The sequence below is a fragment of the Homo sapiens genome, chromosome 15, assembly GCF_000001405.40.
Source record: "Homo sapiens chromosome 15, GRCh38.p14 Primary Assembly".
Lineage (NCBI taxonomy): Eukaryota > Metazoa > Chordata > Mammalia > Primates > Hominidae > Homo > Homo sapiens.
The window spans coordinates 74,341,763-74,364,318 of record NC_000015.10 but is presented as its reverse complement, the minus strand read 5'-3'; the positions used below and the strand labels follow the sequence as shown (position 1 = coordinate 74,364,318).

Sequence of the window (22,556 nt, the reverse complement as noted above, 5' to 3'; positions counted from 1 at the left end):
TTTATGGGAGGCAGAGGGACCGATGGTCTTTTTTCTGTAACTGCTTCATGCTGGCTTGGGGCATAGTCCCTACCTATTGGGGATCATGGAACTCTCACCCTGCTCTATCTAGTGGAGGAAGGGTAGCTTCTTGATGTCCAGGGGTGGTGTCTTCACTTGGAACTGGCTGGAACCTTTGTTACATGATCATCTGAAGCTTGATGGTCTCTAGGTGAGAGGAAATGAATTTGGTTAAAAGATTTAATGGAAACTTTAGGGGGTGGATACCTATACTGTCAGAAATGTTTGTTGTAGTGATTTGCAGAAGAAAAAACAAAACCTAGTCTTTTCTAGAATCTATGTGTTTCCTTAAAGTCTTGGCATGAGTGGCCCCATTTTGGTTTTGTTTGGTTTGTTGGGGCCTAGTGCATGAGATCAGTCCAAAACAACGGCCTCCCAGAATTTTGTTGAAAAAAATTCCCTTTTTGATCAGGTTTTCACTTAGGTGAGAGTGTGACCAAAACCTAGGGCCTCAGTGCCACTCTCAGTTACCATCATTTTGGGTTTCTGGTCTCAGCATGTCATTTATAGGTTATGGTGTCCTCATGGTTGCATATTTCTTTGAGCTCCTGTTATTCCAGTTGAAGAGAGACCATATGACATTCTAGAGATGGCTCATGCAAGCATTTAAAACCTTTGAGAGCATACAGCTCGTCAGGGAGACCATTATTATGGCTATTAGGAGGATAATACCAAGAATTTGGGAGTATACTCCTTACCCAAGGTCCCCATAAACCAAACCTCCTAAAATCAAATGGATCTAAGAATGAGCTAGATACAGTTTACTCACGGCTGGGTGAGGTGGCTCACTTGAGGTCAGGAGTTCAAGATGAGCCTGGCCAACGTGGTGAAACCCCATCTCTACTAAAATACAAAAATTGGCTGGGTGTGGTCACGTGCACCTGTAATCCCAGCTACTTGGGAGGCCAAGGCAGGAGGATTGCTTGAACCTGGGAGTCGGAGGTTGCAGTGAGCCAAGATCACGCCACTGCACTTCAGCCTGGGCAACAGAGAGAGACTTGACTAATCAATTTCTTTGTCAGTCTCCTACCACTGAATTTCTATAGTCTTCATTTGATGTATTTCTGTATAGGCCACAAGTGCCAGCAGCTGCACAGATACTTCGCTGTTTAGCCAATTCTATTATAACTTTCACAAGAGAATTTAGAGTCTGTAGCCTTTAGAGTAGAATTTGCTATGGAACCTATCATGAGGGATACATTTCTAATCATTGCTTCTTTTACTTTAAACCATGGAAAAAGGACCTAACAAATGATGCCCTTTCAGAAGAGTGAAGGACTTCTGGCAATGTTCTCTTTAACCCACGATGTGGGTTATGTGGAGTGAATCAATTTTTTGTTTTTGATTGATTATGAGCTAACACATCTACCATTAAAGTTTCTTACATACATTGGGCCTTTATCCATGTATAAGGCTGGCTGCAAACTCCTTCACAAATAAAAATGTTCCCCATAAGTGCACATAACAGACCCCTTTTCCACTTCTATTGTTCGTAGAAGGCATAAGCAAGAAAAAATATTCAAAAATAAGAGTTTCATGATAGTAGAAGTCTTAATCTGTGAACTTGGGAAAAGCTGTTCACATCAATGATGTCATCTTCTTCTTGGGAGAAATTTCCCTAGTTAGTTTTACCTTAAGCATTCCAGTGGGTGCACAGCTCCAAGAGCATGGAGGGGCCCTTCTCAGTTGTGAGATTATGAACCCAAAGTTCAAGGTCCTGAAGTTTTGTTATAGTGTAGATGGCAAGGACAGTCTTTCTCTGATGTTTCCAGCAGATTCAAACCATAAAAAGCTTTTTTTTTTAATCTGGTGAAAATACACTGTAGCATAATAATCTACTGTTATAACATCAGCCCTCTTGCATGGGAAAGCTTTTCTACAACCAGAAAACATGCATGGAAAATAACAATGGAATGAAATCCCTTTATAAAATGTTTAAATGGCTGACCAGAAGACCAAATATACCTGAAGCTTTAATTGTTTTCCTAGGAATATGGGATCAAGCATTGGTTATAAACAATTTTTTGTTGTTATTTAGTTTTTATTTCATAATCATAAACTTTAACTCAACTCTGCAGTCCAGCTAGGCATGGAAGGGAACTGCAGCGAGAGCACAAAGATTCTAGGATACTGCGAGCAAATGGGGTGGAGGGTGCTGTCCTGAGCTACAGAAGGAATGGTCTGGTGGTTAAGATAAAACACAAGTCAAACTTATTAGAGTTGTCCACAGTCAGCAATGGTGATCTTCTTCCTGGTCTTGCCATTCCTGGACCCAAAGCGCTCCGTGGCCTCCACAATATTCATGCCTTCTTTCACCTTGCCAAAGACCACATGCTTGCCATCCACCACTCAGTCTTGTCAGTGCAGATGAAAAACTGGGAACCGTTTGTATTGGATCCAGCATTTGCCATGGACAAGATGCCAGGACGTGTATGCCTTAGGATGAAGTTCTCATCATCAAATTTCTCCCCATAGATGGACTTGCCACCAGTGCCATTATGGCATATGAAGTCACCACCCTGACACATAAATCCTGGAATAATTATGTGAAAGCAGGAACCCTTATAACCAAATCCTTCCTCTCCAGTGCTCAGAGCATGAAAGTTTTCTGCTGTTTTTGGAATCTTGTCTGCAAACAGCTCAAAGGAGACGTGACCCAAGGGCTCGCCGTGACTGCGATGTCAAAGAACACGGTGGGGTTGACCATGGCTGATAGTACAGGGCTCCTGGTGGCAGTGACGGCATCTGCAAAGCGACAGGTTATAAACTATTTTAAACAATTTCAGTATTAGCTGGTTTAACATGAAAGTCTTTTCTTGATATGTAATTAATTTTTTGTTGTTGTTGTTTTACGTGGGTTAGTAGCTTTATACAAGAAAATTTGGTCATTTTTGTGGTTTACAATAACTTAACATAATTATAATTGTGATTGGTAACATATACTTAGACATTAGAATTTGAGAAATCCCATACAATTTTGGAATATATTATTCACAAAAATATAACCTAAAGAAGATTTAACATCATTTTGTCAATCCCATGTACCTAAACATGTCAAATAATCCTGTTTACCTCTTTTCTGGATGTTTTCAGGGGCCCTCTGATTCATCTAGAAAGCCAGGCATTAGGAAAGACAATTTTGAAACTGAAGTTTGATTTTGGAATTCCAGATTACCGTAAACTATTTATTTTGCCAAAATGATGACTCAGAAATTTTAAAGAAGCAAAAACCTTTTGTAACCTTCCACACACACAAAAAAACCCCCAACACTTTCTACTGTTCTTATACACCTTGCATGTAAAACTGTTTCTAGTAGTCTTAATTGCATGTTATAATGGCAAATTTGTTTTTTTTGAGACAGAGTTTCACTCTTGTTGCCCAGGCTGGAGTGCAATGGCATGATCTCGGCTCACTTCAACCTCTGCCTCCTGAGTTCAAATGATTCTCCTGCCTCAGCCTCCCCAGTAGCTGGGATTACAGGCAGGCACCACCTTGCCCAGCTAATTTTGTATTTTTACTAGAGATGGGGGTTTCACCATGTTGGTCAGGCTGGTCTTGAACTCCTGACCTTAGGTGATCCACCTGCCTCGGCCTCCCCAAATGCTGGGATTACAGGTGCGAGGCACTGTGACTGGCCTATAATGGCGAATTTTAACATAAAACCTGGTAAGTTAGGCCAGGCGCGGTGGCTCACTCCTGTAATCCCAGCACTTTGGGAGGCCGAGGCGGGTGGATCATGAGGTCAGGAGTTCAAGACCAGCCTAGCCAAGATGGTAAAACCCCATCTCTACTAAAAATAATAATAAAAAATTAGCCAGGTGTGGTGGCGGGCGTCTGTAATTCCAGCTACTCAGGAGGCTAGGGCAGAGAATTGCTTGAATCTGGGAGATGGAGATTGTGGGTGAGCCGAGATTGCGCCACTGCACTCCAGCCTGGGGGACAGAGTGAGACTCTGTCAAAACAAAAACAAAAACAAAAAAAACTGGTAAGTTCTGATAAAGTTTCTGATAAGGTTTGACTACTTCCAGCACAGCTAGGGGCATGGCTAACTCCACGTGTCCCCAGGCCTTACCTAGCTGGAAAGCAGGCAAGTTAAACAATTTTCAAAAGCCAAAGGAGTAGCTTATGATGTTAAAGGATTTAGCAAACCTAGTATTTGAACATAATGTACACCACATGTTTACATTTTGAAGACAACTGTATTTTTCCAATAATCTTGAAAACTGTCTTTATTTCCCAACTATTGCTAAAGTCACATGAACTAAAAGGCATTACACTTTCTACTTTTCTGACAAAATATTTGACTTAAGCTTTTATTATTATTAAACCAATTAATTTAAAATCTTACAGAGGAGATATACGTGACTTCTACTTTATATTTAACCAGTTTGCATAGAGGGAAAGAGCCCAGAGACTGACTCATAAGAAATTCTTATCCTTTCACCGGCATGCCAGATTTCAGGGTTCTCTCTTTCACGCGTGTCCCTGTGAAGAGACCACTGAACAGGCTTTGTGTGAGCAATAAAGCTTTTTAATCACCTGGGTGCAGGTGGGCTAAGTCCGTAAAGAGAGTCAGCGAAGGGAGATAGGGGTGGGGCCGTTTTATAGGATTTGGGTAGGTCATGGAAAATTACAGTCAAAGGGGTTGTTCTTTGGCAGGCACGGGCAGGGGACACAAGGTGCTCAGTGGGGGAGCTTTTGAGCCAGGATGAGCCAGGAGAAGGAATTTCACAAGGTAATGTCATCAGTTAAGGCAGGAACAGGCCGTTTTCACTTCTTTTGTGATCCTTCAGTTACTTCAGGCCATCTGGGTGCATACGTGCAGGTCACAGGGGACATGATGGCTTAGCTTGGGCTCAGAGGCCTGATATTCCTGTCTTCTTATATTAGTAAGAAAAATAACATAAAATAGTGTTGAAGTGTTGGGGCAGCAAAAATTTTGGGGGTGGTATGGAGAGATAATGGGCAATGTTTCTCAGGGCTGCTTCAAGCAGGATTAAGGGCAGTGTGGGAACCTAGAGTGGGAGAGATTAAGCCAAAGGAAGATTTTGTGGTAAGGGGTGATATTGTGGGGTTGTTAAAAGGAGCATTTGTCATGTAGAATGATTGGTGATGGCCTGGATGCAATTTTGTATGAACTGAAAAACTAAATGGAAGACACAAGGTCTGAATAAGAGAAGGAGAAAAACAGGTATTAAAGGACTAAGAATTGGGAGGACCCAGGACATCCGATTAGAGAGTGCCCAAGGGGATTCAGTGTAATTACTTGTTTGGTTGGTGAGTTTTTGGGCTCTATTCTTGACAGAGTCCTTTTTTTAAGTTGGAGGCTGAGTTTGGTGAGGTGTGTTTTTAAAAGACCATTAGTCCGTTTTACCTTTCCTGAAGATTGAAGACGGTAAGGGGTATGAAGGTTTCACTGAATACCAAGAGCCTGAGAAACTGCTTGAGTGATTTGACTAATAAAGGCTGGTCTGTTATCAGACTGTATAGAGGTAGGAAGGCCAAACCGAGGAATTATGTCTGACAGAAGGGAAGAAATGATCGTGGTGGCCTTTTCAGACCCTACGGGAAAGGTCTCTACCCAACCGGTGAACGTGTCTACCTAGACCAAGAGGTATTTTAGTTTCCTGACTTGGGGCATGTGAGTAAAGTCAATTTGCCAGTCCTGGGCAGAGGCAAATCCCTGAGCTTGATGTGTAGGGAAGGGAGGGTCCTGAGGAGTAGTAGACTAGCAGATGGAACCCTGAGAAGTGATTTCCTTGTGGATAGATTTCCATGATGGAAAGGAAATGAGAGGTTCTAAGAGGTGGGCTAGTGGCTTGTAACCTACATGGAAGAGGTTATGAAATGACGACAGAATAGAATGGGCCTGTGAGGCTGGAAGGAGATATTTTCCTTGGTCTAAGAACCATTTGCCTTGTGTGGGAAGAGATTGATAGGTGGAAGTTTTAGTAGGGGAGTAGGTGGGAGTGACCGATGAGAAGGAGAAAAACTGGCTGTGAGGGATAGAAGTTGGAATGCTAGCTGCTTTTTAGCTACCTTATCAGCATAAGCATTGCCCAGAGCAATGGGATCTGATGCCTTTTGATGGCCCTTGCAGTGAATGACTCCAGCTTCCTTTGGAAGTAAAGCGGCCTTGAGAAGAGTTTTTATTAAAGAGGCATTAAGATGGAGGACCCTTGTGTAGTGAGGAGACCTCTTTCAGCCCATACAACAGCATGGTGGTGCAGGATATGGAAGGCATCTTTAGAGTCAGTATAAATATTGACGTGTAATTCATTTGCAAGGGTTAGGGCTCCAGTTAAGGCAATGAGTTCAGCTTGCTGAGAGGTAGTGGAGCGGGGCAGAAAGTATATGCATCAGGTGTGAGGAAGAAAATAGATTTTGGAAGTTATGAGAACTGGAGAGAGTGAGTTGAGCACAGTTTGTGATTTTGAGGGCCTCTAAAAGTATTAAAGCAGCGACAGCTGCCGTACACAGACATGAGGGCTAGGCTAAAACAGTAAGGTCAAGTTGTTTGGATAGAAAGGCTGCCGGGCGCGGTCCTGGCTCTTGTGTAAGAATTCTGACCGCACAGCCCTGCACTTCAGCTGTGTGTAATGAAAAAGGGTTGGATGAGTTAGAGAGAGCTAGTGTGGGAGCAGCTTCTAGGGCTGTTTTTAAGGAACAGAAAGAGGAGTGGCGAAAGAATTTAGGATCTATGGGATCAGCTAAGTTTGCATTTTTAAGTTTATATAATGGTTTAGTCAGGATGGTAAAACTAGGTATCCAAAGGTGGAGTATCTAACCATGCCTAGGAAGGAAAGGCATTGTTGCTTTGTAGAAGGGGTTAGGGTTTGTGAGATTAGCTGGACGTGATCAGCAGGGAGAGCATGTGTGTTTTCATGAAGAATTATGTTGAGATAGGTAATGGATGAGGAAGAAATTGGGGTTCACTGAAGTAATGGGGCCTGTCCGTGAAGACTTGCAGCAGTACAGCCCAGGTAATTTGCTGAGCCTGATGGGTGTCAGGGTCAGTCCAAGTGAAAGTGAAGAGAGGCTGGGATGAAGGGTGCAAAGGAATAGTAGAGAAAGCATGTTTGAGATCCAGAACAGAATAATGGGTTGTGGAGGGAGGTATGGAGGATAGGAGCATATATGAGTTTGGCACCATGGGGTGGATAGGCAAAACAATTTGGTTGATAAGGCACAGATCCTGCACTAACCTGTAAGACCTGTCTGGTTTTTGAACAGGTAAAATGGGGGAATTATAAGGAGAGATTATAGGCTTTAAAAGGCCATGCTGTAACAGGCAAGTGATAACAGGCTTTAATCTTTTTAAAGCATGCTGTGGGATAGGATATTAGCATTGAACAGGGTAAGGGTGATTAGGTTTTAATGGGATGGTAAGGGGTGCATGATCAGTCACCAAGGAGGGAGTAGACATGTCCCATATGTGTGGATTAAGGTGGGGAGATACAAGGGGAGGATGTGAAGGAGGCTTTAAACTGGGGAAAAGGGTGGCAATAAGGTGTGGCTGTAGCCCAGGAATAGTCAGGGAAGCAGATAATTTAGTTAAAATGTCTTGACCTAATAAGGGAACTGGGCAGGTGGGGATAACTAAAAAGGAGTGCATAAAAGAATATTGTCCAAGTTGGCACCAGAGTTGGGAAGTTTTAAGAGGTTTAGAAGCCTGGCTGTCAATACCCACAATAGTTGTGGAGGCAAAGGAAATAGGCCCTTGAAAAGAAGGTAATGTGGAGTTGGTAGCCTCCATATTGATTAAGAAGGGGACGGACTTACCCTCCACTGTAAGAGTTACCTAAAGCATCTGTGATGATCCAGGAAGCTTCTGAGGCGATTGGGCAGCATCAGTCTTCAGCCGCTAAGCGGAGAAGATCTGGGAAGGAGTCAGTCAGATAGCCTTGGGCCAGAGTTCCAGGGGCTCTGGGAGTGGCTGCTGGGTGAGTTGGACAGTCCAGTTTCCAGTGGGGTCCTGCACAGATGGGACATGGCTTAGGAGGAATCCCAGGCTGCAGGCAATACTTGGCCCAGTGGCCAGATTTCCAGCACTTGAAGCAAGATCCTGGGGCAGGTGGTCCTGGAGGAATGCCTGGCCGCTGCAGTTCAGGCGTTTTGAAGTTCTTGTATGCTGGAGATGCGGCTGGGTTTTGTCTCACAGCAGAGGCAAGTAATTGTAACTCAGAAATGTGTTGCTGTCTGGCTGCCTCCTTTCTATTATTGTACACCTTGAAGGCAAGGTTGATTAATTCCCATTGCGAGGTTTGAGGGCCGGATTCTAATTTTTGAAGCTTTTTTCTAATGTCAGGGGCTGACTGGGTGATAAAATGCATATTGAGAATAAGACAGCCTTCTGACCCTTCAGGGTCTAGGGCTGTAAAGCGTCTCAGGGTTGCTGCCAAATGAGCCATGAACTGGGCTGGGTTTTTATATTTGAGGAAAAAGAGCCTAAACACTAACTGATTTGGGAGAGTTCGGATAAAGAAAAAGGAGCATTAACCTTGACTATGCCTTTAGCTCCAGCCACCTTTTTAAGAGGAAATTACTGGGCAGATGGGGGAGGGCTAGTTGCAGAACGAAACTGTAAGCTGGACTGGGTTTGGGGAGAGGGGGTGATAGAAGGATTATAGGGTGGAGGAGCAGAAACTGAGGAAGAATTGGAGCCTGATTCAGCCTGGCTGGGGAGTGACCTGAGGAGCAGTCTGGGGATGAGGGGAGAGGTCAGATGGGTCGGTAGAAAAGGAAGATTGGAAAGACTCAACAACACTTGGGGTTGGGACTGAAGGGACAGGTGGGAGGGAAAAGAAGATTTGGGACCAATTGCATTGGAAATAGACTAGGGAGGGAACAAAGAATGCCTGGGTGTCAGGTACCTCAGACCATTTGCCCATTTTATGACAAGAATTATCTAGATCTTGTAGGATGGAGAAATCGAAAGTGCCGTTTTCTGGCTATTTGGAACCATTGTTGAGTTTGTATTGGGGTTAAGTGGCATTGCAGAAGAAAATAAGATGTTTAGGTTTTAGGTCACGTGTGAGTTGAAGAGGTTTTAAATTCTTGAGAACACAGGCTAAGGGAGAAGAGGGAGGAATGGAGGGGTGGAAGTTTGCCCATAGTGAAGGAGGTAAGCCCAGAGAAAAGAGAGGATAGAGACATGGAGAGAAGGTGTGGGGGATGCCTGCCCCCCAGGAAAGTGGAGAGAAAAGGGAGGGTAGAGACACGGAGAGAAGGGAGGTGCTTGCCCCCCAAATTAGTGGTGCTTGCCACTAAGGGTGAAGGATCAAGGCAGGTGTCCCCGTGGTGATCAAACACCTCTGAAATGTGGGTGAATAATCAAGCAGGCATCCCCGCAGTGATTAAACACCAAGGGAAGACTGTCTTCCCGAGTCTGTGACCAGCGCTGGAGTTTTGGGTTCACGGATAAAACACGTCTCCTCTGTCTCTGCCAGAAAAGGAAAGGAACTGAAATTAAGGGAAGGGAGAGATTGAAAGATGGCGCCAAGATTGAAAGGAGAAAGAGGTTGAGAGATAGTGAGAGAGGTTGGAGAAGAGAGTAAAAAGAGGCTGCTTACCGGGTTTAAAATTGGTGGGATGTTCCTTGGGCTGGTTGGTCTGAGGACCTGAGGTCATAGGTGGATCTTTCTCACTGAGCAAAGAGCAGGAGGACAGGGGATTGATCTCCCAAGGGAGGTCCCCTGATCCGAGTCATGGCACCAAATTTCATGCGTGTCCCTGTGAAGAGACCACCAAACAGGCTTTGTGTGAGCAATAAAGCTTTTTAATCACCTGGGTGCAGGCAGGCTGAATCCGAAAAGAGTCAGCAAAAGGAGATAGGGGTGGGGCTGTTTTATAGGATTTGGGTAGGTAATGGAAAATTACAGTCAAAGGGGGTTGTTTTTTGGCTGGCAGGGGTGGGGGTCACAAGGTGCTCAGTGGGGGAGCTTTTGAGCCAGAAGAGCCAGGAGAAGGAATTTCACAAGGTAATGTTATCAGTTAAGGCAGGAACAGGCCATTTTCACTTCTTTGTGATTCTTCAGTTATTTCAGGCCATCTGGATGTATACGTGCAGGTCACAGGGGATATGACGGCTTAGCTTGGGCTCAGAGGCCTGACATTCTCTCCCTGAGTGGCCCCAGGGACCCTGCTTGACTGTATGCAAACAAACACATTGCAATGAATTAAGAATATTCATAAATAGTTTACAAATTTTGGAGAAACTAGGCAGAGTGAGAGAAATATGACTAAAATTCTATTTGTGAGAGTATACTCAACACACTTAAAGTATCAGGAAGCCTAAAATCCAAAAAGTTAGTTTAAGGATAAAAAAGCTAGTATGCTCCATTAATTCCTGCAGGCCCAACAAAGGTAGCTTGGGAATTCCAGAAAAATGGAATGAATGATGACTTGCTAGAAATGCACAGGAACACAGAACTAAATGAAAACCTTCCACTAGGAACTAAGAAAAATCATGGTTTTTATATACATGCATACACAAGCAAAGTCAGAGGAGAACAAATGGCAAACAAATGAAAACTAGAAGCAAAAACAAATAAGCAGGAAACCAACCCTAAATTTTCTTATTCAATTTACCCTGGAGGCTACAGTGTTACATAGGGCCCCCAAAAACCCACATAATGAATATTTTATTCCTGATACACAATTCAGTATCCTTAAGTTCACTAATATTATCATACATCCTGTGCAATTAACAAATTCACTTTAGGCGTATGACCAATAAGTACTCCAGCACTATCCATGCAAAACAGTAAACATAGTATGAAGCAATGTAAGCATGTATGTGGAATTTGGTTCCACACTAAATCCAGCTTCATGCTTAACTATATTAAAAAAAAGAGTTGCCAAACTGCCAATGCATTTTTACAATACTTCTTACTTTAATCAAGACTAAGAGCTTTAACTATAAAAATGTTAATTAGCCAAATGTTTCCAATTCTTTATCAGGTTTTAAAGAATATTTTATTATTTAAACTGTACCTCATCTTTCTCCCCTACTTAATGGTTCCTTACTACATTGTTTCATAAATAACCTTTTCAAAACTGTAACTTGAACTAACTTTTAGATAACTTCTGAATTAGACAAAATTATTCTTTCCTTTTTTTAGTAATAACCCTTTCAGGCACTTTTTGTATACAGAATTACGTGTTAACTAGAAACCTTATCCTTTGTAATGTAAAATTTTAGTGAAACCCTAAAAAGCAAGAAATCCTGAAATATCAGATATGGGCATTTATAGATAAGAACAATTCCACAATTTTAGAAACATATTTCCCCATATCACAACCCTTTCTTACTTGGAAATGACCCAGATATTAAATGAGTGCCAAAAATAACTTTAAGGTTTTAATTTACACAAAAAGTTTACCTAAAGCATTTATCCCATTTGCTGTACTCAATTTTTACTTTTAACAAGGGAGACATGAGACACTAATTAACATATGTAAAATGAACATTGGTTTGGTCCTGAAAGGTGGGACAACTCAAGGCAAGGAGTGGGCTTGGAGGCTTTCAGATCACAGGTGGGAGACAGATGTTTACATTCTTTTGAGTTTCTGATTAGCCTTTCCAAAGGAACCAATCAGATATGCATTTATCTCAGTGAGACTTTGAATAGAAGGGGAGGCAGGCTCGCCCCAAGCAGCTCCCAGGTTGAATTCACTGACATTTAAGAATATCTAGTGGTGGCTCATGCCTGTAATCCCAGTGCTTTGGGAGGCTGAGGCAGGCAGATCACAAGGTCAAGAGTTCAAGACCAGCCTGGCCAATATGGTGAAACCTTGTCTCTATTAAAAAATTTAAAAATTAGCTGGGCGTGGTGGCGTGTGCCTGTGGTCCCAGCTTCTTAGGAGGCTGAGGCAGGAGAATTGTTTGAACCCAGAAGGCGGAGGTTGCAGTGAGCCGAGATCACACCACTGCACTCTAGCCTGGGTGACAGAGTGAGACTCTGTCTCAAAAAAAAAAAAAAAAAAAAAAAGATAGCAAAGACAAACATAAAATTCAAACAAAATGTATACTGATAATACTGAAGGCATTTCTATTTTTATTCCACCAATAATTTTAAAGCTAGCTTGTTTAGTAAAGTTATACTTTAAGTCACGTGAACTTGAAAATTGCTTAGACTTATTTACTTAATTTATGAGTGCTCTTTTACTTATAAGGCAATTTGGTAGACACAACATATAACAATGTGTACATACAAATAAACACATCTAGACATGTATACACACACATAAACGAAGATTCAATAGCTTGGAACCTTAGCCATGAGATAGCAATACAAGCTTGCCAGTTTTTGCCCCAACAGATAATCCAATGAAGGCTGTGAACCAAAATTTTGGCTAAAGCAGTCTCCATGGCAGTTTGATTTTTAAAGGCCAAACCTCCCACGACTTCAAAGCAGGGTGTCACATGTTAACCAGGCCCCCTGCTTAGAGCTGCAGCACAAAAGCCTGGATACATGCAACTCTATTCCACTTTCCAATTCAACAGTAAACTTCAGATTCCAAACAATGTTGGGGCCAAACAGCATTGCAACTGCGGAGAGAAAATTCTAAGGAGGGCTAGACCTCAGAACCTCTGCCAAGAGCATCCTCTTTGGAGTGGCTGGGGTCCGCAGGACCCACAGAGCATCCTCCTGTGGGGTCCAATCTTAGGGTCCCAGACGTCTCTGGCTTTAGGTGGGCATCACATGCAGGCTTTCCCCTCTGGAGCATACTATGAACTTTATAAGAGTAGCCATGAACTGTAATGTGAACTGGATGCTGCGTGGGCTTTTTTTGTCCTTAGCTAGTTGAGCACTATAAGGGAAGAATTTAGCATAAGAAAGTAAGGTTTAAGCCCCCAGAAACATTTATGAGTTTGCTCCGAGCAGCACCGCATGTAGGGATCAGGAACCATAGGCAAAAAAGATTTTTAAAAAAAGTCCCTCCCGCTTTGGGGCAGCGCAATTATTCCCTTTCATTCGTAGACCTTCAGGCAGTACTGGTGACCCCAGCCTCAATTTCCAAGGAGCTACTAGGAAACAGCCGCTGAAAGACTGAAATAGAAAGAGACAAAAAAAGAGAAAAAAAACATAAAAAAGACCCAGGTCCCTTAAGCGAACCGGGCGGTGGCAGTCAGGCTGCTTCTCCACGTGGAAACCCCTTAGTTTCACTGGCCACGGCCAGAAACCTGCAGTTGTCTCCGTGTTTAGGTGGGGCCCAGCAAGGGTCCCAAGTTGGAACAGAAAAGAGAAAGAGAGAGCTCCTGTATGGAGCAGAAAGGAAAGGGAGAAAAACGAATCCCAAACTTTGGGCTTACCTCTTCCTCCTGGCTGGCTGGCCAAAATACATGTTACCGGTGGAGGGTGTCCAGGTTCTTGGTGTCTTGAACAAAGAATTTGACAAAACGCACAAACAAAGCACGGAAGGGATGAAGGGATGTATTGAACATGAAAATGCACACCACGGTGTGGGAGGGGCCTGAGTGTAGGAGCTCAGGGGCCCCGTTAACAGAATTTTTGGGAGTTTAAATACCCCTTAGAGCATTCCATTGGTTAATTCCATATGCCTTATGTAAATGGAGAGGATGAAGTAAAGTTACAAAGTCATTTACAGCATACGCCCTATGGAGAGGATATTTCCTGTCACAGCTCAAGTGTGAATTGGCCTTATGTTCCCTGCCTCCAGACCCTAATTATCTTTCTGTTTTCTGAGTCACTTCCATCTGAATCTTGCAACATATCCCTGTAGTTGGTGTTATTATTTCCCCACTTTACAGATGGGGAAACTGAGGCCCAGTGAGAAGAAGGGTCTTGTCAATGTCACACAACTCATGAGAGCAAAGCCAGGGCAGGAACTGGAATTGTCTGACTTCCAGCTCTGTGTGTCATTATACTTGAACTTATAGCTAATAAACAATAAACTTCTGAATAAATGTGAGGAATTTAAAATACAACTTTTGTGGGTTTTTTTCCTAACACAAAGGCTGTTCTTGTTTTATACAGAGCAATTTAGAAAATACAGAGAAACACAAATGAAAAATTGAAGTCAGATACAATCAATTCCAATTGATTTAACATTTAAGTATCATGAGGTATGTGAATATACTACATATGCTGCTTATGTTGTCTCACAACAATATATCAAGGAATTCTTTCCTTTTTTCTCTCTCTAATATAAAATTATTTTATATTTTAAGAGAAAGTGATGTTCAGTGGTCCTCAGACTTTTCTGGGGAAAGATCTCGTTTCGTTTATTTATATCTTCTTCCTTTTTCTTGATCTATCTTATTAATATTTACTTTTTTTGAAACAGGGTCTTGCTCTGTCTCCCAGGGTGGAGTGCAGTGGTGCCATCATAGGCTCACTGTAGCCTTGAATTCCTGGGCGCAAGTGATCCTCCCTCTCCCTCCTCAGCCTCCCAAAGTACTGGGATTACAGGTGTGAGCCACTGTGCCTGGCCTCTAATATAATTTTAAAAGGCAGCATAGTAGTTCACAGTATGGATTTTTTTTTTCGCGGGTTCTTTAAAGTGAACATACAACCTACTCTTGACTTTTTTGCTGTTAGACATGAGGCTGCAATGGACATCCTTATCCATCAAGCATTGTTGCTGATGTCAGATCATTGCCTTGGGCTAGATTCCCAGAAGTGGAATTGATCATGATAATAGCAGTTCAAGGGCTTGGCTGAACTTGGTTAGGGGTATGGAGCTAGTTAGTGCAAAGACACATGGTAGCTGGAAAAACACTGAGGGGATTTTCTGGGAGGCCACAGAACAAGTGAAGGCCTGAAACTCATCAAGGTAGGCCCAGGCTTTCTGGCTCAGTGGTTAAAGCAGCACTATGAGAGGAGAGAGAGAGAGAACATGCACACACATGAGCACACTTGGCTTGTATCTCCATGTTTTTATGCTATTTTGCCTAAAAGTGTATCTTAATTTTCTTCGATAAAAGGCAGAGGCTAGCAAGAAGTGGAATTTTCTGTTGTTTTTTAGTAGTTGTATTTTTATTTCTTATTTTTTGCTTAAACAACAGAATTAATTTTCTGGCAGTTCTGGAAACTAGAAGTCAGAGATCAAGGTTTTGGCTGAGTTGCTTGCTTTCTTCTGAGGCCTCTCTCCTTGGAGTTAGATGCTATCTTTTCCCCGTGTGTTGACATGGTCCTTCCTCTTTGTGTATCCGTGTCCTCATCTCTTCATGTAAGAACACCAGTCATATGTAACAGTTGTATGTGGGTAGGCACATTGGCTCAAACCTGCCATCCCAGCACTTTGGGAGGCTGAGGTGGGAGGATCTCTTGAGCCCAGAAGTTTGAGACCAGCCTGGGCAACATGGCAAAACCTCATCTCTACAAAAAACACAAAAATTAAGCATGGTGGTGCCTGTAGTCCCAGGTACTTGGCCGGGCTGAGGTGAGAGGGTCGCTTGAGCCTGGGAGGTCAGGGCTGCAGTGAGCCGTGATCACACCACTGCACTCCAGCCTGGGTAACAGAGACCCTGTCTCAAAACAACAATAACAACAAAAACCCAGTTGTATTTAATACAGATTGTCTGCAAAGTGATTTGCAAGCCTGTCTCCCCTGCCTGTATGTTGGGGCTTGATGTTTTACTGAAGTTTTATTTTAATAGAGACAAAGCGTGTTGTTGGGTGGCCTCTGACTCTTAGGGTCAGGGTGGCCACTCTCAGAATTTCAGTTGTAGAGTCTGACAGGGATTTGGCCTGGAATATGGCCTACCTTGCAAGCTATAGTGAGTCACTCTAGCAGTGACATGAAAGTGTGCCATGGTTCTGAGCTCTGTGGACAGGTGAGAAGCTGGGGCTGCTGTAGGTGTGGACACAGGAAGAATGCGCAAGGAGTGGAGGACTTGCTGGTCCATGGAAGGCTCGGGGGTGGCTTTGGGCTGGCCCTGGGGATGTGCTGTGGGACAGCAGCAACAGTGATCATAAAGCTCTCACTTGTAGAATGTTTAACAAAGGTCACATCCATATACTTCCTATTGTCTTGTCCTTCAGCAGCGCTGCGAGACAGGTACTGTATTTGTCTCCATTTTACAGAAGAGGAAACTGAGACTCAGAGGGGTTAAGGGCCTCGACTCAGGTCCCACAGTCAGCAAGTTGTGGAACTGTGAGGCAGCTGTGCTGAGCCTGTATCCATAGCTCTCCTCGGATCCTTCCATCAGCCCCTCTCCCCCACCCCTCCAGGGAGAAGCTCGGCAACGTGGAGTCGGTTTATGTCATCGACCCTGAAGATGTGGCCCTTCTCTTTAAGTCCGAGGGCCCCAACCCAGAACGATTCCTCATCCCGCCCTGGGTCGCCTATCACCAGTATTACCAGAGACCCATAGGAGTCCTGTTGAAGTGAGTCCTGGGCCATCTCCCAGGGACTGGAGGGAGGTGGTGGGGAGCTGTGGAGAGGGCAGAGGCTGGGGGTGAGGGGCTGAGGCCAGGCTTGCCCTGTGCCTCCTAGCAGGGCCTCTAGGTGAATCCCCGTCATTTTCCTGCCTCCCTAAAACAAATGATGGTGATGATGATGATGATGATGATGAATTGCTCTGCCAGCCTTCAGGGAAATGGCCATGCTGAAGATCCTAATGAATAATTAAAGATCTGGCAAAGTTCTCACTGACTGGTTTGCTCACTGAGTCCCACCTTACTGAGCATCCTTGATGAATCAGGACTTGTGCCAGGAACTGGAGATACAGTGACAAATAGAGCAGGGACCTGCCACCGTGAGTCCCATACAGGCTAAAGGGGCAGTGAGACATTTGTCCTACATGGGGACAGATCAGTGTATTTAAGTGTAGTGGATACTGTTTTCTACGAAATTGTTCATAAATTTTTTTTTATTTTGAGATGGGATCTCATTGTGTCATCCAGGCTGGAGTGCAGTGGTTTGATCATGGCTCACAGCAGCCTCTGCCCCCCGGCACAGGTGATCCTCCCACCTCAGCCTCCCAAGTAGCTGGGATTACAGGTGCGTGTCACCACACCCAGCCAATTTTTACATTTTTAGTATAGATGAGATTTTGCCATGTTGCCCAGGCTGGTCTCAAACCCCTGGGCTCAAGCAATCTTCCCGCTTCAGCCTTCCAAAGTGCTAGGATTATAGGCATGAGCCACCATACCCACCCCATCAAAAATGTAAAATGAGGGTCAGGGCGCATTGGCTCATGCCTGTAATCCCAGCACTTTGGGAGGCCAAGGCGGACAGATTGCTTGAGCTCAGGAGTTCAAGACCACCCTGGGCAACACAGTGAGACCCCATCTCTACAAAAAATAAAAAATAAAAAATTAGCCGATGTGGTGGCACATGCCTGTGTTCTCAGCTACTTGGCAGGCTGAGGCCAGAGAACTACTTGAGCCTAGGAAGCAGAGGTTGCTGTGACGAGAGATGGCACCACTGCACTCCAGGCTGGGTGACAGAGCTGGATCCTGTCTCAAAAAAAAAAAAAAAAAAGAAAAGAAAAGGTAAAACGTAACCATATCAAGTGTGGGTAAGGCTACAGAGCAACTGGGGCTCTCATCTGTTACTGGTGGGAGTGTAAACTGGAGCCACTACTTTGGAAAATGGTTGGACATTTTCTCCTAAAATGGAATATTTGCATACCTGTGACATAGCAGTTTGATTTCAGGTATATACTCCAAAGAGTATCCCTGCTTTGGGGGATGTGTAGTAGAAGGTTTGCAGTGGTACCGTTCATGATATTAAAAACCAGAAAGCTACTGAAATGCCCAATAGGATTATAAGTGAGTGAATTGTGGTACACACCAGTCAAAATGAAGGGACTCAGTCTCCCACAGCAATACAGATGATACTTGGAACGGTGCAACTAAGTGAAAAAAGCAAGTCTGGCAAAGCATGACAGCTTTTCTTTCTTTCTTTCTTTTTTTTTTTTTTTTTTTTTGAGGCAGAGTCTTGCTCTGTCACCCAGGCTGGAGTGCAATGGCACGATCTTGGCTCACTCCAACCTCCGCCTCCCGGGTTCAAGTGATTCTATTGCCTCAAGCTCCGGCGTAGCTGGGATTATAGATGCCCGCCACCATGCCCAGCTAATTTTTGTATTTTCAGTAGAGACGGGGTTTCACCATGTTGGCCAGGCTGGTCTCGAACTCCTGACCTCAGGTGATCCACCTGCCTCGGTCTCCCAAAATGCTGGGATTACAGGCGTGAGCCACTGTGTCTGACCGACAGCTTTTTAAAAGAAGTTAAACACTAGTATATATTTTGTAATAGTACCTTTTGGGAATAAATGGAGATCAGATAAAATTAGACACAAATGAGAGCAAGGGATTCTAGTGGGTGGTCTCCTTAGAAGGGAACAAAGGATGTGGAAGGACCAGGAGGGCAAGTGTAAGTTACTGTCAAGTTCCTAGTTTCTATGGTGGGTGGTAAGTTTGTGATAATATTCTTATCAACAAAAACACCCCCAAGTCACGAAGAGGACTTTGCATGGATTGATGAATTTCAAGAGTGTGCATGAATTAAGGTTTATTATGACCAACCCAGTTCGGGGCACCTGAGGTCCCCCGACAGAAGTGAGTAATGGGACGTGTTGGGGGTGCAGAGGAGGAGAGGCTGGTCAATTTTGTTTGTGCAAGAGTCAGAAAATGTTATATAGAGGGGCCCTGGAGTGTCAAAGGTGAGCATCGGCCAGGAGGAAGTGGGAGTGGCATGGAAGGCATGCCTGCAGCTGAGGCAAAGACTGGAGAGACTGAAAGTTACACAAAGGGTTCTAAGAATATCAGTTCCTGGCCCTCAGCAGAGGGAGTGGAGGGGAGTTGGAGTTTTGTTCCCCTTCACTCTCTTTTTTCCTTTCTCTTCTCCCAGCCAGGCAGAGCAGGGAGGAGGTGAGAGGCAGAGGGTGCTCGGAGAGGTGAGGGCAGAGGCCCTGGTGGGAGTGCTGGATGCTGTGAGCTGTGACTCAGCTTCCTGGGAAAACTGAGTCAGCCCCCTCTGTGTTCACCAGGCCTGGGGTCTGTGACCATGAGGGCTTGTGGGCCCATGTTTTCTCAGGAAGTCGGCAGCCTGGAAGAAAGACCGGGTGGCCCTGAACCAGGAGGTGATGGCTCCAGAGGCCACCAAGAACTTTTTGCCCCTGTTGGATGCAGTGTCTCGGGACTTCGTCAGTGTCCTGCACAGGCGCATCAAGAAGGCGGGCTCCGGAAATTACTCGGGGGACATCAGTGATGACCTGTTCCGCTTTGCCTTTGAGTGTAAGGGGGCTTGCACCTGGCTGGCAGTGGGCATGGGGGTGGGAGGACTCAGTGTTCACTCTCTTACCTTGAGGTTCAGTACAGACCCTGCAGAGGCATTGAGACTGACTTCTGGGATGAGCCGCTGATCATGTCCTCCACTGCCTGCTACTCAGAGGCAATTTAAGACCACCCTGGGCAACAGAGTGAGACCCCTTGCTCTGGGGTTCTCTCATCTGGCATTCTCTCTCATCTGGCATTTGTGCTGTAGGAGCAAGGGTCCCCAAAGTACAGGTCCCTATTGCCACCATCCGCCAAAGCCAGAGCTTGGCTTGGACCTTCATTCTGCAAGTCTCCACCTCCTGGGCCATAGACCTTTGGAGTCTGGTAGGGTAGAGGAGAGTTCAGTGGTTAATCTGAGGTAGGCATTGAGGAATCTGTAGGAGTTATCTAGATGGGGTAAGGAAGTCAGGCAGTATAGGTAGAGGGAACCACACATACAAAGGCCCTGTGGCTTGATGAAGATTGTGTGGTCACAGCAAGAGATTTGGGGTGCCCAGAGCTTTGTATGAAATCAGTATTCAAATTACTCACCTGGTAGGTGGGGAAAACTTGAGGCTGTTGTAACTTCTTAGGTCCAGCAAGACTAGGTCCTGGATGGTTAATTATCCAGGGATTTATGACCCTCAGTCTCCTTTCTGACCTGTTTCAGGAAGTATTTAGCCAATTCAGCCAATTACAGATGAGGAATCTCTCTTGGTGGAAGCCTGGGCAGAGCAGTTGCATCCTGGGCTAGGCCCTCTCTCAGCTCTGCTGGAGACCCTGCTTCCCACCTTTCAGGTCCTCCACATGCCCCTCTGCAGGACCTGTGTGGTTGCCAGAGGTCAGCTTTCTCAGCCTTGCATCTTAGCCCTTTGGGACTCAGGCCTCAATTTATTTACTGAAGGAGGCTGAGGGTAGGGGCAAGAGATCCTTTGTGCTGAGGGAGGTGAGGGTGGAGGAGTCCCTGGGAGTTGTGGCTCTCAGATGGCCCCGTCAGAAATGGCTCCTCAGCCTCTTCCTCTCCCTGCAGCCATCACTAACGTCATTTTTGGGGAGCGCCAGGGGATGCTGGAGGAAGTAGTGAACCCCGAGGCCCAGCGATTCATTGATGCCATCTACCAGATGTTCCACACCAGCGTCCCCATGCTCAACCTTCCCCCAGACCTGTTCCGTCTGTTCAGGACCAAGACCTGGAAGGACCATGTGGCTGCATGGGACGTGATTTTCAGTAAAGGTGAGGGCTTCTCTGGCTGTGCTCTCCTCCTCGGAGCCCCAGGCCTCAGCCGGCTCCTTTGTCCCACGCTATGTCAATGGGCGCTGACTTGACCTGTAGGAAACCCACACTGTGGCGGGCAGGCGTGGGTGTCAGGAAGGCCCTGGGACCCCTGGAAATGGCGGATGGAAGGCTGGCTGTTGGGGATTATTAGATTTTTCTGGAAAAAGAGGAGCAAAGACATCTGTGATCTTCTTCAAAGGAGCTCATGCTCCCCAGAGGGCAAAGGACCAGTGTCTGAGCCACGGCTGTGCTGGATGACAGGGACTTGGGTGGGAGAGATGGGGAAGGTTGGGTGGAGAAGGCTCGTCAGGGTATGGCAGAGTCAAATCCCACCTCTGCCCCTTACAGCCATGTGACCTTGGGCAAGTGACTATGTCTCTGCACCTCTGTTATCTGTAAAATGGGGATGATGTCACATACCCCAAGAATTCGATGAAAAAACAGATATGAAGGGCTTAGTACAGAGTACGTGCTCAGTAAAACGGCAGCCTAAGAAGCACAGGGCTCCGGAATCCCCAGGCCCTTGGTGCCACCTTTCACCACAGACTGCCCTCCTTCCCACCCGCCTGCAGGGAACCTCACTCTTTTTTCTTTCCTCCTTCCCCACAGCTGACATATACACCCAGAACTTCTACTGGGAATTGAGACAGAAAGGAAGTGTTCACCACGATTACCGTGGCATCCTCTACAGACTCCTGGGAGACAGCAAGATGTCCTTCGAGGACATCAAGGCCAACGTCACAGAGATGCTGGCAGGAGGGGTGGACACGGTGAGGTGGCTGTAGGGGCGGCACCTTGTTGCCCCCTGTGCCCACGTGCCCCTTCCCCACCAGGCCCCTCGTTGTCTGAAACCCTGTTGTTCAAGGCGTTCCTACTCATGTAGGATATGTCTTCCTCCTTGCCTCCATTTCCAAAGCGCTAATCTCCTAAGATGGTGGGGTCAAAGTCAAGTCACCCAGGGCATGATTTGAGGATGATCAGCTATTTTTCTTTGCCTGTGAGAGAGGAGTGGCCGGGCATGGTGGTGAGGTCCAGGTTCCACGTAGAGTCTCCACAGGAGGAGGTCCCCTCTGGAGGCTTGCTCTATCAGAGCCCTGCTGATGGAGGACAATGCCCCCAGCTCCTGGTGGAGAACACACTCACTCAAATCCAGGGAAGCAGGCAGGAGCCCGGAAACATTGGGAGGCCGAGGCATTTGCTGTGGGCTCTGCCGTCCATGGTCTTTTTGTTGTCCTTCCTCCTCCCCTTTCCAGACCTCAGTACCCTACGGTGCCCCCAACGCCCAGAGGCATCCCCAGTGCTCTTTCCATAGCAGCATGGCACCCTAGAAACTTCTTTCTTTGGATATTAAGAATAATCAGTCCTGGCCGGGCGCAGTGGCTCATGCCTGTAATCCCAGCACTTTGGGAGGCAGAGGTGGGCGGATCATGAGGTCAGAAGTTCGAGACCAGCCTGGCCAACATAGTGAAACCCCATCTCTACTAAAAATACAAAAAATTAGCTGGGCCTGGTGGTGGGCACCTACAATCCCAGCTACTCAGGAGGCTGAGGCAGGAGAATCGCTTGAACCCGTGAGGCAGAGATTGTGGTGAGCCGAGATCGCACCACTGCACTCCAGCTCAGGTGGTAGTGTGAGACTCCATCTCAAAAGGAATACAGTAGACCTCAAATGTCCTCACGTGGCTCAGAGGGGAGGGGTGTACTGGTTTGCTAGGGCCGCTGTAACAAAATGGCATTGACTGGGCGATTTAAACAACAAACATTGATTTTCTCACAGTTCCGGAGGCTGGAAGTTCAAGGTCAAGGTGTTGGCAGGGTTGGTGCATTCTAAAGGCCTCTTTCCTTGGCTTGTAGATGGCCGTCTTCTCCCTCTGTCTCACATGGGCTTCCCTCTGTGTCTGTGTCAGAATTGTCTCTCCTCATGAGGACACTAATCAGAACTGGATTAGGATCCTCCTCAAGGACTTCATTTTACTTTAAAATC

General features: G+C 45.5%; 1 protein-coding gene and 1 pseudogene across 3 annotated transcripts in view; one reads left to right on the top strand and one right to left on the bottom strand.

The window, feature by feature from the left end:
• Positions 1-22,556, top strand: part of CYP11A1 (cytochrome P450 family 11 subfamily A member 1) — a 29,885-nt gene that overhangs the window by 3,328 nt on the left and 4,001 nt on the right. For both annotated transcript variants that reach the window (NM_000781.3, NM_001099773.2), the window contains exons 2-5: positions 16,264-16,419; positions 19,076-19,275; positions 20,327-20,530; positions 21,182-21,342. In NM_000781.3, the coding sequence (NP_000772.2) occupies positions 16,264-16,419; positions 19,076-19,275; positions 20,327-20,530; positions 21,182-21,342 (721 nt within the window). The remainder of the gene's footprint in view (positions 1-16,263; positions 16,420-19,075; positions 19,276-20,326; positions 20,531-21,181; positions 21,343-22,556) is intronic.
• Positions 2,278-2,767, bottom strand: PPIAP46 (peptidylprolyl isomerase A pseudogene 46; annotated as a pseudogene). Its single transcript, NR_045207.1, has one exon. The product of NR_045207.1 is annotated as a peptidylprolyl isomerase A pseudogene 46 (transcript).